Source organism: Homo sapiens, chromosome 8 (assembly GCF_000001405.40).
Source record: "Homo sapiens chromosome 8, GRCh38.p14 Primary Assembly".
In the NCBI taxonomy this organism is placed as follows: domain Eukaryota; kingdom Metazoa; phylum Chordata; class Mammalia; order Primates; family Hominidae; genus Homo; species Homo sapiens.
Window position 1 is genome coordinate 140,427,853 of NC_000008.11, and position 15,943 is coordinate 140,443,795.

The following is a 15,943-nucleotide window of genomic DNA, read 5'->3' on the forward strand; positions in this document are numbered from 1 at the left end:
AAAATAAAAAACAGGTGTTTTCCATTGAATAACACCTTTCTGCCAAGCATGATGCTTAACAAATATCATGTATGACCTTCAGAGCAACCCTACAAAATAAACAGATATTAACCCTCCCTGCCTATGGGGAGACTGAAGCCCAGAGGAGCCAAGGGAAGCCCCACCGCCACACACGCCACAACACCAGGTCCAAGGTCTGCACTGAGCAGACGTTCAGCTGCACAGACCTTGAGGAAGTCTGGATTTCCAGATAACCTAGAAACGTTTTGTTCTGTGAAGAACCTGGCCAAATATATTATACTATGCCATGTCCTTTAGGTAGGGGATATGAGTTAAACTTTTGATGCCCCAGAGTTATTATCACAATCATCAATCATTTGACTATTAGTATCATCAGCCTCTAGTGGACTGATTTCACATTAACCAAACTTGTAAGAGACCAGTGTAGGAAAACTGGAGGTTTAACTATTAATGTAACGGGAGACACAAAATTATCAATCAGACCAAAATATCAGGGTTCAACGATCAGCACATTTTCTCTTCAAAGGCCAAATCACAGGCAGGAGATAAGTAGAAATCAGGTCCATACGTCTCATTTGGGACCATTACAGAGGATGCCCTCACACACCAAATGCTGGTTTCTAGGCCCTTTCCTAGTGGTTGTCACCTCTACAGCAGGATCCTGACACCTGAATAACAAAGCCTCACACCATCACCCCTGCCTGTAAAATGAAGAGAGTGGGCCGATGCTTCAGTTTGTTCCTGTTCTAAGGTAAGCCTCTGTGAGCCTCATCTTTTGTTTATATTTAGGGGCATTAAAGTGTTCAGATGGGGAACTGAATACCACTCCCTTCCCTGAAACAGAATTCAGTAGTTGTATTTTGTTGAAATACAAATCAAGTTCATCTAGAAAACTCCACTTTCTCTGAACAGGAGTTTTCTAGATGAATTTGATGGACTAAAGTTCTGTTACAGGGAGAAACCTGCTGCCTACACAAATGATTAATGCAAACCGCAGTGCACTCTCTGTGGACAGTGGCCAAGACACAAATGCCAGCGCTGCATAACTCTCTCTGTCCCACCCTTTCCACACTGGCCAACCCCCTGACTGATGTATAGATGTATACATGGAACTGTAGATATGCTGATACCTCTAAACCCCGGAAGCCAATCTACTGAAGCTCAGCCCGACTGCCAGGGGTTTTTTGTTTTGTTTTTTGTTTTTCTGTTTTTGTTTTTTTTTTTTTGAGACAGAGTCTCACTCTGTCGCCCAGGCTGGAGTGCAGTGGCACAATCCTGGCTCACTGCAACCTCCGCTTCCCGGGTTCAAGCAATTCTTCTGCCTCAGCCTCCCAAGTGGCTGGGACTACAGGTGCGCACCACCACGTCCAGCTAATTTTTTGTTGTTGTTGTATTTTCAGTAGACACGGGGTTTTACCATATTGGCCAGGCTGGTCTTGAACTCCTGACCTCGTGATCTGCCCACCGTGGCCTCCCAGTGCTGGGATTACAGGTGTGAGCCACTGCACCTGGCCAACTGCCAGGATTTAAATCCCAGCTCTGCCACTTACTAGCTCCATAACCTTGGTCAAGTTCCTCAACCTGTCTATGCCTCAGTTTCCACATCTGTAAAACTGGGATAATAATCCAACCTACCTTATCTGGTTGTTGTGAAGATTAAAGGGTTAAATTGGTGTATATAAAATGTGTGTAGAGGCCGAGGTGGGTGGATCACTTGAGGTCAGGAGTTTGCGACCAGCCTGGCCAACATGGTGAACCCACATCTCTACTAAAAATACGAAAATTAGCTGGTCATGGTGGTGCACACCTGTAATCCCAGCTACTGGGGAGGCTGAGGCACGAGAATTGCTTGAACCCGGGAGGCAGCGGTTGCAGTGAGCCAAGATTGTGCCATTGCACTCCAGCCTGGCAACAGAGTGAGACTCTATCTCAAAAAAATAAAAATAAATAAAATGTGTGTAGCACATTTTAAATGTTCAACAGATGTTATCAGCCAGGTGTGGTGGCTCACGCCTGTAATTCCAGCACTTTGGGAGGCCGAGGTGGGCAGATCACCTGATGTCAGGAGTTCGAGACCAGCTTGGCCAACATAGCGAAACCGTGTCTCCACTAAACATACAAAAATTAGCTGGGCGAGGTGGCAGGCGCCTGTAATCCCAGCTACTTGGGAGGCTGAGGCAGGAGAATCACTCGAACCCGGGACGCAGAGGTTGCAGTGAGCCGAGATCACGACATTGCACTCCAGCCTGGATGACAGAGTGAGACTCCATCCCAAAAAAAAAAAAAAAATGTTATCTGTTACAGTGATTTTACAAATGTCCCTTCTAATCATCCTTTGTATTTCCTTACTAGTCTAAATAGCAAAGGATATCCTTATTTCTGTGTTACAAAGAAAGAACTGTCACCCCATGACCTATTTAAACTGAGGGGGAAGATGGCACTTGCTCTTCACTCCTCTGGTTTCCATAATAAAGGCTTTGTCCTAAGCACCACTGACCTCTTGCCCACCCCCATTCCTCCCCCACCCAAGTGGAGTGAGGTGTAAGATGAGTTTGGGAGACAAGCTGGGCATGTGAACCCCTTCTTTTGCCCTTGGGTGCTGCACTCAGGAAGCACACGGGATGTTCTGCTCCGCCATGCCTATGGCTGACAGGGAGAGGGCCCCTCGTAGGAAGGTCTGCTGTGGCCCAGAGCCACCAGATCTTGGACACACAGTAGTAGGATGCCCATTTTTCTGCATCCCTCAAGTTCATGGAAAATGTGGGGGTTGTTTTTTGTTTTTTAAGACAAGGTCTTGCCCTGTAGCCCAGGCTGGAGTGCAGTGGCAGAATCTCAGCTCACTGCAACCTCTGCCTCCTGGGCTCAAGCAATCCTCCCAACTCAGCCTCTTGAGTAGCTGGGACTACAGGCACGCGCCAACATCCCAGGCTAATTTTTTGTATTTTTTGTAGAGATAGGATTTCACCATGTTGCCCAGGCTGGTCTCAAATTCCTGGGCTCAAGCGATCCATGCACTGTGGCCTCCCAAAGTGCTAGGATTACAGGTGTGAGCCACCATGCCCGGCAGAGAATGTGGTTTCATCACTAATAAGGGCGGAATTTTTATTCTCTACCTTACTCTTGTCTCGTCTCTCAGTTGGTTGTTGAAGAAAACAGGGGTGTTTTTATTGGGCCCCTTTAAGCCCCAACATATACTAATCCACAAATAATTCTGTGGCTTGGGTAGGTCAAGATGGCTACATAACGGCCATGTCTCTAAACCTGCAGCTAAATTATGGGTATAAGAACTACTGACCCTCCTCGCCGGGCGCGGTGGCTCACGCCTGTAATCCCAGCACTTTGGGAGGCCAAGGCAGGCGGATCACCTGAGGTCAGGAGTTCAAGACCAGCCTGGCCAACATGGTGAAACCCCGTCTCTACTAAAAATATAAAAACTAGCCGGGCGTAGTGGTGGGTGCCTGTAATCCCAGCTACTCGGGAGGCTGAGGCAGGAGAATTGCTTGAACCCAGGAGACAGAGGTTGCAGTGAGCTACTGCACTCCGGCCTCGGCGACAGAGTGAGACTCTGTCTCAAAAAAAAAAATAAAAATAAAAACTACTGACCCACCTCAAATATTTCCTTCATTTCCTGAGTCTCTCTTCACGAAAACATTTTTCCTATTTCAATGCCTTAGTAATTTCCAAACACTATAAAATGATGACTTCATATAAAATAATAGCTAATGGTCGTGAGATATTTTATGAGATGACTGCCACGCTAAACATTTTGCACACATTCTCTCTAATTCTCACAATTCTACAAAGCAGAAATTAGGAGCCCCTGCTCATAGATGCAGAGCGAGGAGGTGGGGGGCACCTGAGAAAGAACTGTAGGACTTGCATTCAGACACAAGCCAGCTGAACGAGGCTTTTCCATGACACCACAACACCACCCACTAGCAAACATGCAAAACTGGGTGCAATACTCAGGGAGTTCCAGATTCTTTTCAGCTTTAAGGTGCTCCAGACAGTTTCTATCTCTTTTATAAATCATGGCTGACTGCCTTCTGACATTGGAAGAAAAGTCCAATTTCACCACTGTCCACATTGCACATCTGAAATTTTCATGCTGAAATGACATAATAAAAATAACTAGAATACTTTTCCAGGTATCCAAATATAATGGGCATAGTGCTATTCTAAAGCATTAAACAACAACAACAGCAAAATTCAAATGAAGGAAGCCTTGTCTAAGTCTTCTTTCACCAACAGGGAAATTAGGACATTAAAAATATATGTGTACAACAGCGCCACCTATGGCCAGAAAGGTCTTTCCAGGTTGCTGAAAAAAAAAGGTAACAAATTTAATTGTTGGCATAATAAGAAATGATCAACAGGGCTTTTTAAAATACGATGCTCAGAGACCATAACTAAAAGTGTAACTAGCACATACTGAAATCTGCTTCAAGGAAGGGAACAGTATTCAGTATTTAATCCAAAAACTTTAACACCCCTAAATATAAACAGAAGACACAGGCTCATAGAAACTAATCTTAGAACAGGAAGAAAACTCGAGCATCTGGCCCACTCTCTTCATTCTACAGGTAGTGAGGTTGAGACCCAGAGAATTTGTTCTTCTAGCAATCAGTGGCAAAGCTTTCTCCTAGTCCTTGGATTTTGCACTATACCAAAAGCCACCTTAATCTATACCAACCCTATAATCATAAAAGTCACGTCTGGCCGGGCACAGTGGCTCACGCCTGTAATCCCAGCACTTTGGGAGGCCGAGGCGGGCAGATCATGAAGTCAGGAGATCGATACCATCCTGGCTAACACGGTGAAATCCTGTCTCTACTAAAAATACAAAAAATTAGCCAGGCGTGGTGGCGGACGCCTGTAGTCCCAGCTACTCGGGAGGCTGAGGCAGGAGAATGACGTGAACCCGGGAGGCGGAGGTTGCAGTGAGCCGAGATCGCGCCACTGCACTCCAGCCTGGGCAACAGAGCAAGACTCTGTATCAAAAAAAAAAAAAGTCATGTCTCTATATTTCAGTCAGTAAATAGCCTAAGTGTCTTACAAAAAAATACTTCCCAAAGGACTGCCAACTATTAATCATACAATTTTGTTGAAATACAAACACATTTATTTATATATTAAAACAGCATAATCGGCCAAGCACAGTGCTCACACCTGTAATCCCAGCACTTTGGGAGGCCGAAGCGGGTGGATCACTTGAGTCAGGAGTTGGAGACTAGCCTGGCCAACATGGCGAAACCTCGTCTCTACAAAAATTAGCTGGGCATGGTAGCACACACTTGTAATCCTGTTACTCAGGAGGCTGAGACACAAGAATCACTTGAGCCCGGGAGGCAGAGGTTATAGTGAGCCGAGATCATGCTGCTGCACTTCAGCCTGGGCAACAGAGCAAGACTCTGTCTCAAAAAACAACACACAGGCCAGGAGCGGTGGCTCACACCTGTAATCCCAACACTTTGGGAGGCCGAGGCAGGCAGATCACTTATGGTCTGGAGTTCAAGACCAGCCTGGCCAACATGGTGAAACCGCATCTCTACTGAAATTTACAAAAATTAGCCAGGTGTGGTGACGGGCACCTGTAATCCCAGCTACTCGGGAGGCTGAGGCAGGAGAACCACTAAAACCCAAGAAGTAGAAGTTGCAGTGAGCCGAGATTGAGCCACTGCACTCCAGCCCAGGTGACAGAGCGAGACTCTGTCTCAAAAAACAACAACAACAACAACAAAAACACACATAATCTATTCAACAATGTCCCCTTGTAGTCAATCTATAAAGGAAAAGTAACTGATGTCAAATCAACGTTTTTACTTTTCTCATCTATTACAGATACAGGAAAAAAATCAAAATTTTCTCAATCACAAAAAAGATAAGCCTGAGGCAGAAGAATAGGATCTAGAGGCAAAGAACTTAAGGTTGTTTCACACAGACTTCCTACAACTACATTGAAAGGAAAACCCTAACTTTCCATGACTAAGTAACAAAAGGACCAGAGGCTGCTCCCTTTGACCTTTTCTGCATGGCAGGTGGGAAACTGGCTGTCCGGAACCACTCAGACTGATTGCTGGTGGAGTCTTAGTTTGCAGAGAAGTATAACTTTGTCTACTTTTCATTTGCATAGAAGCATAACTTTGTAACTTCACCTTAGCCTCTGAGTGGCTGCTTTCCGCAACCAATCAGACTAACTGCAGGCTACCACTTCATTTACAAGAGGTGAGCATGAAGTGGCCAATGGGAAACTTCTAGTGGGTATTTAGACCCAAGAAGATTCTGTATCCGTGCCCTTGAGCCCGCTGCTCGGCCCACTCCCACACTGTGGAGTGTACTTTCGTTTTCAATAAATCCCTGCTTTCATTATTTTGTTGCTTCCTTCTTTGTGACCTATGCAACATGATGACTAAATCCTGAGCCATTAAAGGCAGGTTCATTCATCAAGGACCAAAACGTTCATGTTCATTCAGCATTCGTGGGTCTGCTCTACCCAAGAAGTTTTCTCACTCTTCATTGGTTCTACCAAGCATAAGCAAATCAAACAACTCATTGAGAGAATGTCATCAGCCAATAAAATAAGAAACTGCTCCCAGGCCCTGAATCAGCTTATTAAAATTGACCTCTGGGACTAGCTTCTCCTAATACATAAAATTATAAAAAAGACTTAGACACAGAACCTCAAGTCTGTTCTACCAGGAAATTTTACACAAGTATTCCAGAAATCAACCAATCATTCTAACCCATTAGTGGTATTCAGTAAGATTGAAAGTATTCAATAAAATCAGAACAAAATGTCTCATACAAGATTTCTGGGCAGGGCATGGTGGCTCACGCCTGTAATCCCAGCACTTTGGGAGGCCGAGGCGGGTGGATCACGAGGTCAAGCATTCGAGACCAGCCTGGCCAACATAGTGAAACCCCGCCTCTATTAAAAATACAAAAAATTAGCCATGTGTGGTGGCGGGCGCCTGTAATCCCAACTAGTCAGGAGGCTGAGGGAGGAGAATTGCTTGAACCTGGGAGGTGGAGGCTGTGGTGAGCCGAGATTGCGCCACTGCACTCCAGCCCGGGCAACAGTGCAAGACTCTGTCTCAAAAAAAAAAAAAAATTACTGACTCAACAGATTTTACAGTTTATTTAAATATTAGTCCTAACTCAAAGGAAAAAGTAACAAATGAGTCTGCTTTATTTAAAGACTGCAAGTGAGCAGAGGCCGGAAAAAGGGCAGAGCTCACCTGGCCGGTGTCTATTGGCTGCTTCAGCAGGAAGGGTGCTGCCCTGGAACCTCCGAGCTCCACTCTTCCCACCAGTTCCACCAGGATAGTGATAGATGACAGAAGCTGAACACAATCCTTCCAGGGCAGCTGGGCATTAAGAAAACAAAAAACAAAAACCAGAAAACAAAAAACAAAAACCAGCATCATTAGTCAAGTCAGTGACCCTTCATTAGCTCAAACTGCAGTAACTAACAATGATTTAAACAGGTGGATTATTTGGAAATGCCAATTTTTCTCCCAAAACAAAGATCAAACCTAAAGATCACTAGTTTTTTGCAAATGGGAACTTGCCACCTGTCTTTCCCATGCCCATGTCCAGGCAGGCAATGCAGAACACTCTCACCACACTCAAGGTTTCCCTGCAGGGCTGACTGCACACGTAAAACAGGCCAGCCTCTGCGTTCATCCATTCACGTGGCCGGCATTCCTGCACAAACTGTGTGGCAGACTGCGCCAGGTTCTGGAGCTACAGAGATGTATAACAGAAAGTGCCCTGGATTGAAAATATTTCACAGTAATAGCACCAAAGCAAGACCAGAATGCCTTTCCAGACCATGCACCCCATAGGCATCTGCTCCTTTTGAGGTTGTAGTCCTCCCTCTTCCTCAAAAACAGCCATATTAACTCGCTACACAGTCCGTTCTTCTCTCATGACGTAACAACCTAATAATCTCCAGCTATGCCACATGCCTTAGAAGGTGTGCCACAGTATTCATCTCTATCATCTTTATCCATTAACTCAGTGCTCCTTAAACTTTTGGTCTAAAAACTCCTTGATGCTCTTAAAAATGACTTAGGATCACAAAGAGCTTTTTTTGTGATGTGGGTTACACCTGTAGATATTTACCATATTGGAAAATAAAACTGAGAAAAGGATTTAAGTATTTATGTATTAATTCCTCTTAAAATAGGCCAGACGCAGTGGCTCATGCCAGTAATCCCAGCACTTTGGGAAGCCAAGGTGGGTGGATCACTTGAGGTCAGGAGTTCAAGACCAGCCTGGCCAACATGGTGAAACCCTGACTCTACTAAAAATACAAAAATTGGCCAGGCATGATAAAACACACCTGTAGCCCCAGCTACTCGGGAGGCTGAGGCAAGAGAATCGCTTGAACCTGGGAAATGGAAGTTTCAGTGAGCTGAAATCACGCCATTGCACTCCAGCCTGGGCGACAGAGTGAGACTGACTCAAAAAAATAAAAATAAAAAATAAAATAATAAGCTTGTCATGTGTTAACAGTTTTATGAAAAATAATTGTTTTCCAAAACAAAAATAAAGTACTGGAGGAATGGCATTATTTGACATGTTCACACATTTCTTTAATATCAGAGTTAATACAAGTCAGCTGGATCTTCTATCAGCTTCTACATTCAGTCTGCTGTGATGTCAGGCCTAAGTAGCTTGTGGACAACTCCACTGTCCACTTCTGAGAGGCTGAGCATGGAAGAGGCCCACGGCACACAGCACCGTCCTTCTCTGTGTGCCCTTTAGGAGCCCTCCTCATCCAGTCCAGCGCCGCATGGGGAAGGCATATGGGCAGTACCAGTCTTTCTGGAGAAGCACCTGCTGCACATGCCCTAGTCTCAGAGCCCACTGGGAGATGCACAGATTCTCTAATTGATACAATAAGGAGTACTTAGGGAGACAATGCTCTTTCAAGAAAACCAAGTAAAACTATGTCTTTCTCAGCCTGCATAATCCTTTATCTGATTCTCTTTTCTTTTCCATCCCTAATTCTTACTCCCTTTCTTTCCCCACTTCTATTTCCCTAGCCTCTTTAAAAAACTAAATTTAAGTCCATTTTAAGTTTTATTTTGGTTTTTTCTTAAGAGACAAAGTCTCACTCTTGCTCAGGATGGAGTGCAGTGGTGCGATCGTGGCTCACTGCAGCCTTGACCTCCTGAGCCCAAGCGATCCTCCTGCCTCACCCTCACAAGTAGCTGGGACTACAGGCACAGACCACCAAGCCCAGCTAATGTCTTTTTATTTTATTTTATTTTATTTTATTTTGGTAGAAGTGAGGTCTCCCTATGTTGCTCAGGCTGGTCTCCACCCAGTTAATGTTTTTTAATTTTGTTTTGTAGAAGTGAGGTGAAGTAAGATTTTTTTATTTTTTATTTTTTGTAGAAGTGTTGGGATTACAGGCATGAGCCACCATGCCTGGCCGTTTGAAGTATTTCTTATATTTGGCTGGGCACAGTGGCTTATGCCTGTAATCCCAGCACTCTGGGAGGCCAAGGCAGGCATATCAGCTGAGGTCGAGTTCAAGAGCAGCTCGGCCAACATCGCAAAACCCCGTCTCTACTAAAAATAGAAAATTTAGCCGGGTGTGGTAGTGCATGCCTGTAAGTCCCAGCTACTCGGAAGGCTGAGGCAGGAGAATCGCTTGAACCCAGGAGGCGGAGATTGCAGTGAGCCAAGATCATGCCACTGCACTCCAGCCTGGGCAACAGAGCGAGACTCCGTCCCCAAGAACGAAAGAATTTGTTATATTTAATATGTTCTACGGCACCTCGTTAAACTTCTGTTACAGAACTCACCTCATTACTTCATTCCGACTTGTATTATCATAAGTGGCTGACAGGTGTCCTTGCTAAACTGTCAACCTCAACGAAAGAACCCTGTTTTAGTCCTTACCCACACAATGGACTCAGCCAGTCCATCCTCCCAGGACCACCTCCAGGAGGCGCAGTCCCCAAAGGGAAGACCACACACAGACATCCGATTCCACCACGAAGTGTCAGCAACATCTCAGGCAGGGCACCCGCTCTGCCGACTGCTGCGGGGGATCAGAGATGGCTGTGCTTTGAAGTAGGATTTCTTCTTCCCTTTCTTTTAATTTTTAAGATTGACATAGAGTTCACATACCATATAATTCACCCACTTAAAGTGTGCAAGTCAGCAGTTTTTAGTATATTCACAACTGTGCAACCATCACCACTAACTGACTCTGGAACATTTTCATCACCCCAGAAAGAAACCTTATGCCCGTTAACTGTCACTTCCCATTCCCCCTCCTCCCAGCCCCTAGAACCAGTTGTCTACTTTCTGCTTCTATAGATTTGCCTATTCTAGCCACTTCATATATATAGAATCATACAATCTGCGGCCTTTTTCATGCCTGCCTTCTCTCACTTAGCACAAAGTTGTCAAGGTTCATCCGTGCTGCAGTGGTATCACAATTTCACTCCTTTTCATGGCTGAATAATATTCCGCTGTATGCCCATACCACATTTCGTTTATCCATTCATCATGTGACACATGGAGGAGGTTTTGAGGGAGGAGTCTAAGAGGTGAAGATCATGGGGAACGGCATCCAAAGCAGAGGGCAAGGTATACTAAGAACAGAGGAAAAGGGAAAGTGTGGGCAGGGCCTCCTTCAGAGGACGCATGGCAGGGTGGGAGGAGGGCAGCAGATACAGCAGGGAAGCATCCCAGGCCACTGCTCGTGGCAACCAGCACAGGCTGGCTGCTTTTCCTCCCTCATCCCTTCTTTTTGGGGAATTTCTTCTGCCGTTTCCTCTCATTTCTTTTTTTATTTTATTTTATTTTTTTTTGAGATGGAGTCTCGCTCTGTTGCCAGGCTGGAGTGCAGTTGTGCAACCTCTGCTCACTGCAACTTCTGCCTCCTGGTTCAAGAAATTCTGCTGCCTCCGCCTCCCGAGTAGCTGGGACTATAGGCGCGTGCCACCACGCCCAGCTAATTTTTGTATTTTTAGTAGAGACGTGGTTTCACCATGTTGGCCAGGATGGTCTCAATCTCTTGACCTCATATTTGGCCTGCCGTAGCCTCCCAAAGTGCTGGGATTACAGGCGTGAGCCACCGCACCCAGCCTCTCATTTTAATTAACAGTTGAAACAATTACATATCAGATCATCTTCATCAGCTCATCTTACCTCCAAGCCACAGAAAGTCATTCACAGAACGCAGCAGCTCCACCGACATGTGGTAATGCACCAGGGAGTCCTGCAGCATCCCTGCCTGCAGGCACAGGTCCCCCACGTGCTTCCGCATGCGGCCTTGGCACCGCTTCTTGTAATGTCTAGAAAATACATGAAAATGTATCTTTATTACTATACAACTCCCACCCAGAAAGCACTCTGACTAAGCACTATTCAATTCTCTCACTACTAAAAATGCTAAGAAGGCAACTGTAGGCTCTATAATTTTAAGTCAGCAATAATCATTGCCAGTTATGTGAGCTGGAGTGGTCTTAATTTCAAAAATGTACTGCCAAGCAATTTGTTTAAAGGTGATCGGTACGTAAGGACTTCTACCATGTCTTTCACGTAGGCAATGTTACAGTTGGATTTTTCTTTTTAGATTTTCCAGTTGTAACATTAGCATAAGGAAGTTTATGTTTCAGCTTTTTAAAAAAATCAATTATCTTCCACTTCTTAACATCAAACCTCTTATTATTTTATAAAGACAGCTATGCTGAGTCTTATTAGCCAACCATTTGGCTTTAGCAAACAAGACGTTCATCCTCGCTATTTCAGGGCAAGCTTTAGGAAAGCTTCCAGAGAGCAGGGCCTGGGGTGCTCACTAACAGCTCTTTAAATATTGGCAAGGATATACCACTAAATAATGCAAAGGCTTCTGAGTCCCTAATCAACTCAGAAACCAAAGAAACTGTACCAAAGTATTCCTTTTATCATTTTTAAATACATCTAACCTTTAAATGTTATATTTCTTAAGATAGATGATTTTTTTTTTAAAGAAAAACTGCAGCTGGATTAAACTTTCCCTCATCAAGAAAGCAAACTTATCAAGAATAAAACTCCTCTGGAAATCCAGAAGATGTGACGTTTCTAAGTAAATGAATGTTATTGACACATCTCAATACAATGTTAAATCCTATCATGTGTAACTCTAACGAGTTCAACAAACTCTTTGTTACTCTGGAATTTAGCATTTCCATTCTGAATAAGTTTTAAACAAAGATCACAACGTAAGGCAGACGCAGAAAGAAAAAGAAACGCCAGCCTTCGTTTGTCTCCTTCCTGGCCACAAGGCAGTGTCAGGATGGCCCCTGCTAACAGACCCTCCCCATAAGAAAATACAGCATCTAGCAGGGTGCAGTGGCTCACGCCTGTAATCCCAGCACTTTGGGAGACCGAGGCGGGCGGATCACAAGGTCAGGAGATCGAGACCATCCTGGCTAACACGGTGAAACCCCATCTCTACTAAAAATACAAAAAATTAGCCGGGCGTGGTGGCACGCGCCTGTAGTCCCAGCTACTCAGGAGGCTGAGGCAGGAGAATCACTTGAACCCGGGAGGCGGAGGTTGCAGTGAGCCGAGATCATGCCACTGCACTCCAGCCTGGGGGACAGGGTGAGACTCCCAAAAAAAAAAGAAAAGAAAAGAAAGGCATCTGAGCTGCTCTTCCCATCCCAACAGCAGTCACCTCAGCAGCCTCCGCCTAGTCTCTGACTCCTCACCCTGCACCCCCTTCCCCTTCATTGCTTCTATACACACACAGCCAGAGTGTCCTTCCCAAAGCACAAATCAGTCTGTGTCCCTCCCCCACTGCAAACCTTTCACAGGATGCTCAATTCAGTCGTAGGGAGAGGCATGCAGTCCATAGCTAGCCCCTCCCACGGCTCTGGCTTCCCCTCCTACCACTGTGGCTTTGCACTCCACAGGCAACCTTGCTGCAACGCTGAAGTCCCCCAACCTCAGGCTCTATCCGCCTCACAACTTCCACTCTCTTTTAGGCTCATCTCAATGACCAGGTTCTCAAGGAAGCCTTCCCTGACTCCAACCTCTGCACTTTGGGTTAAGTGTCCTTGATGTGTTTCTAGAACACTGTTACTTTTTTTTTTTTTTTTTTTTTTTGGAGACAAGGTCTTATTCTGCTGCCCAGGCTGGAGCCCAGTGGCACAATCACAGCTCACTGCAACCTCCAAGTCCTGGGCTCAAGAGATCCTCCCACCTCAGCCTCCCCAGTAACTGGGACCACAGGTGTGCACCACAACACCTGGCTAATTGTTTTTTATTTTTTGTAGAGATAGGGTCTCCTTATGTTGCTCAAGCTGGTCTCGAACTCCTGGGCTCAAGTGATCCTCTTGCCTCAGCCTCCCAAAGAGCTGGGATTACAGTTCTTTGCCCAGCCAGCTCTTACTCTCAAAGGTAGACAGTGTTTTGCTCACTTCCTTGGTATGTTATCCTGTTCCAAATGGGAAAAAAAAACTCAGTATCCAAATGGACATTTTCCTCCACCAGTAACATAACTGTCAACTCTTAATACATGAATAAGTTTACAAATACTACTGTATATTAGTTTAATATATTTTAAATTAGACTTTAAAGCAACAACAAAACTTTACTCCTAACCAATTAGAAAAGATTTGCTTTAAAGCATCCTAAAGAAGTAAATTAGGTCAGGCATGGTGGCTCATACCTGTAATACCACCACTTTGGGAGGCCAAGGCAGGAGGATCACTTAAGGCTAGGACTTCGAGACGGCTGGGCAACAGAGCAAGACCATGTCTCTACAAAGGCTCAGGTGATCCTCCCACCTCAGCCTCCCAAGTAACTGGGACTACAGGCACACAACCCCTTGCTCAGCTAATATTTATATTTTTTGTAGAGACAAGGTCTCACCATGTTGCCCAGGCTGGTCTGGAACTCCTGGGCCCAAGCAATCCACCTGCCTTGGCCTCCCACAGTGCTAGATTTATAGGAGTCAGCCACTGTGCCCAGCCTACAAAAAAAATTGTTTTAAGTAGCTTGGCATGGTGGCTCCCACCTGTAGTCCCAGCTACTCAGGAGGCAGAGGCAGGAGGATCACTTGAGCCCTGGAATTCGAGACTGCAGTGAGCCATGATTTTGCCACTGCTCTCTAATCTGGGCAACAGACCAAGATCCTGTCCCTTAAAAAAAGAAAGGAGTAAATTATTACATCTTCACATGAACTTCACAAAAGTGTACACCTGCTGTAGCAAAATATAACCCACAAAATTTCAAAAATATTTTTCTAGTAGCATCTTCTAAATACATAACTTGTTTTTAAAAGTGCAAACATTATGATAAACAATTTGTTTTGAAAACATAGGACTTTTACAAAAAGTCATATAAATACTCTTATAGTTTTTCATATGAAAGTCATAATACAATAAAACCATACAAATATTTTAAATTGTATAAAAACAAAATGAGGCCAGGCACAGTGGCTTACACCTGTAATCCCAGCACTTTGGGAGGCCGAGGCGGGTGGATCACAAGGTCAGGAGATTGAGACCATCCTGGCTAACACGGCAAAACCCCGTGTCTACTGAAAATACAAAAAATTAGCCGGGCGTGGTGGCAGGCGCCGTAGTCCCAGCTACTCGGGAGGCTGAGGCAGGAGAATGGTGTGAACCTGGGAGGCGGAGCTTGCAGTGAGCTAAGATTGCACCACTGCACTCCAACCTGGTCGACAGAGCGAGCCTCTGTCAAAAAAAAAAAAAAAAGAAGAAAATGCTTAATATTTTTCTGATTTTGGTACTATTTATATGGCTTATGGAAAACAAGAGCTTGGTATTCTAGTCCAAAAAACAATTTATCTGGCAAATAAATTTCTACATTCAAATCCAAAGAAAAGCTAAAGCTGCTCAACAACAACAGTTTGCAATTAAAATCCAAGGGAACCTGGATAGAGAGAATCTCTTTTGCAGGGTCGGGGATGGTATTACACAGTTTAAGAAGTCTTTGGGCCTGGCGAGGTGGCTCATGCCTGTAATCCCAGCACTATGGGAGGCCGAGGCAGGCGGATCACAAAGTTAAGAGATAGAGACCATCCTGGCCAACATGGTGAAACCCCATCTCTACTAAAAATACAAGAATTAGCTGGGCATGGTGGCACGTGCCTGTAGTCCCAGCTACTCAGGAGGCTGAGGCAGGAGAATCGCTTGAACCCGGAAGGCAGAGGTTGCAGTGAGCTGAGATGGCACCACTGCACTCTGGCCTGGCAACGGAGCGAGACTCCATCTCAAAAAAAAAAAAAAAAAAAAAAAGCCAGGCGCGGTGGCTCACACCTGTAATCCCAGCACTTTGGGAGGCCAAGGCGGGCAGATCACAAAGTCAGGAGATCGAGACCATCCTGGCTAACATGATGAAACCCCGTCTCTACTAAAAAATACAAAAAATTAGCCAGGCGTGGTGGTGGGCGCCTGTAGTCCCAGCTAATCAGGAGGCTGAGGCAGGAGAATGGTGTGAACCCGGGAGGCGGAGCTTGCAGTGAGCCAAGATCGCGCCACTGCACTCCAGCGTGGGCGACAGAGCAAGACTCCATCTCAAAAAAAAAAAAAGAAGTCTTTGTATACTTAAATAATGGCTACAGCCCATAATTTTGCACTACAATGTTTTGGGGTGGGGAGCCTTTTGACTACGTGCCTGATGTAAATACAGTAAGTATACTAAAAGGTGCCCACATGGTAGAGCTAAAGCACCAAAGCAGACAAACTTAAGATGCCAGAGCAGCTGGGCGCAGTGGCTCACACCTGAAATCTCAGCACTTTGGGAAGCCGAGGCAGGCAGATCATTTGAAGCCAGGAGTTCGAGAACAGCCTGTCCAACATAGCAAAACCCTGTCTCTACTAAAAATACTAAAATTAGGCCGGGCATGGTGGCTCACGCCTGTAATACCAGCATTCTG

At 45.2% G+C, this 15,943-nt stretch overlaps 1 protein-coding gene across 16 annotated transcripts in view; it reads right to left on the reverse strand.

The window, feature by feature from the left end:
• TRAPPC9 (trafficking protein particle complex subunit 9) overlaps nt 1–15,943 on the reverse strand; it is a 730,855-nt gene that overhangs the window by 700,128 nt on the left and 14,784 nt on the right. For all 16 annotated transcript variants that reach the window (NR_164662.1, XM_011517326.3, NM_031466.8 and 13 more), the window contains 2 exons: nt 11,200–11,345; nt 7,260–7,388 (listed from right to left, as the gene is read on the reverse strand). Coding sequence is in view for 15 of the 16 variants with exons in the window: in XM_011517326.3 (XP_011515628.1) it covers nt 7,260–7,388; nt 11,200–11,345 (275 nt within the window). In the remaining variant the exon portion in view is untranslated. The remainder of the gene's footprint in view (nt 1–7,259; nt 7,389–11,199; nt 11,346–15,943) is intronic.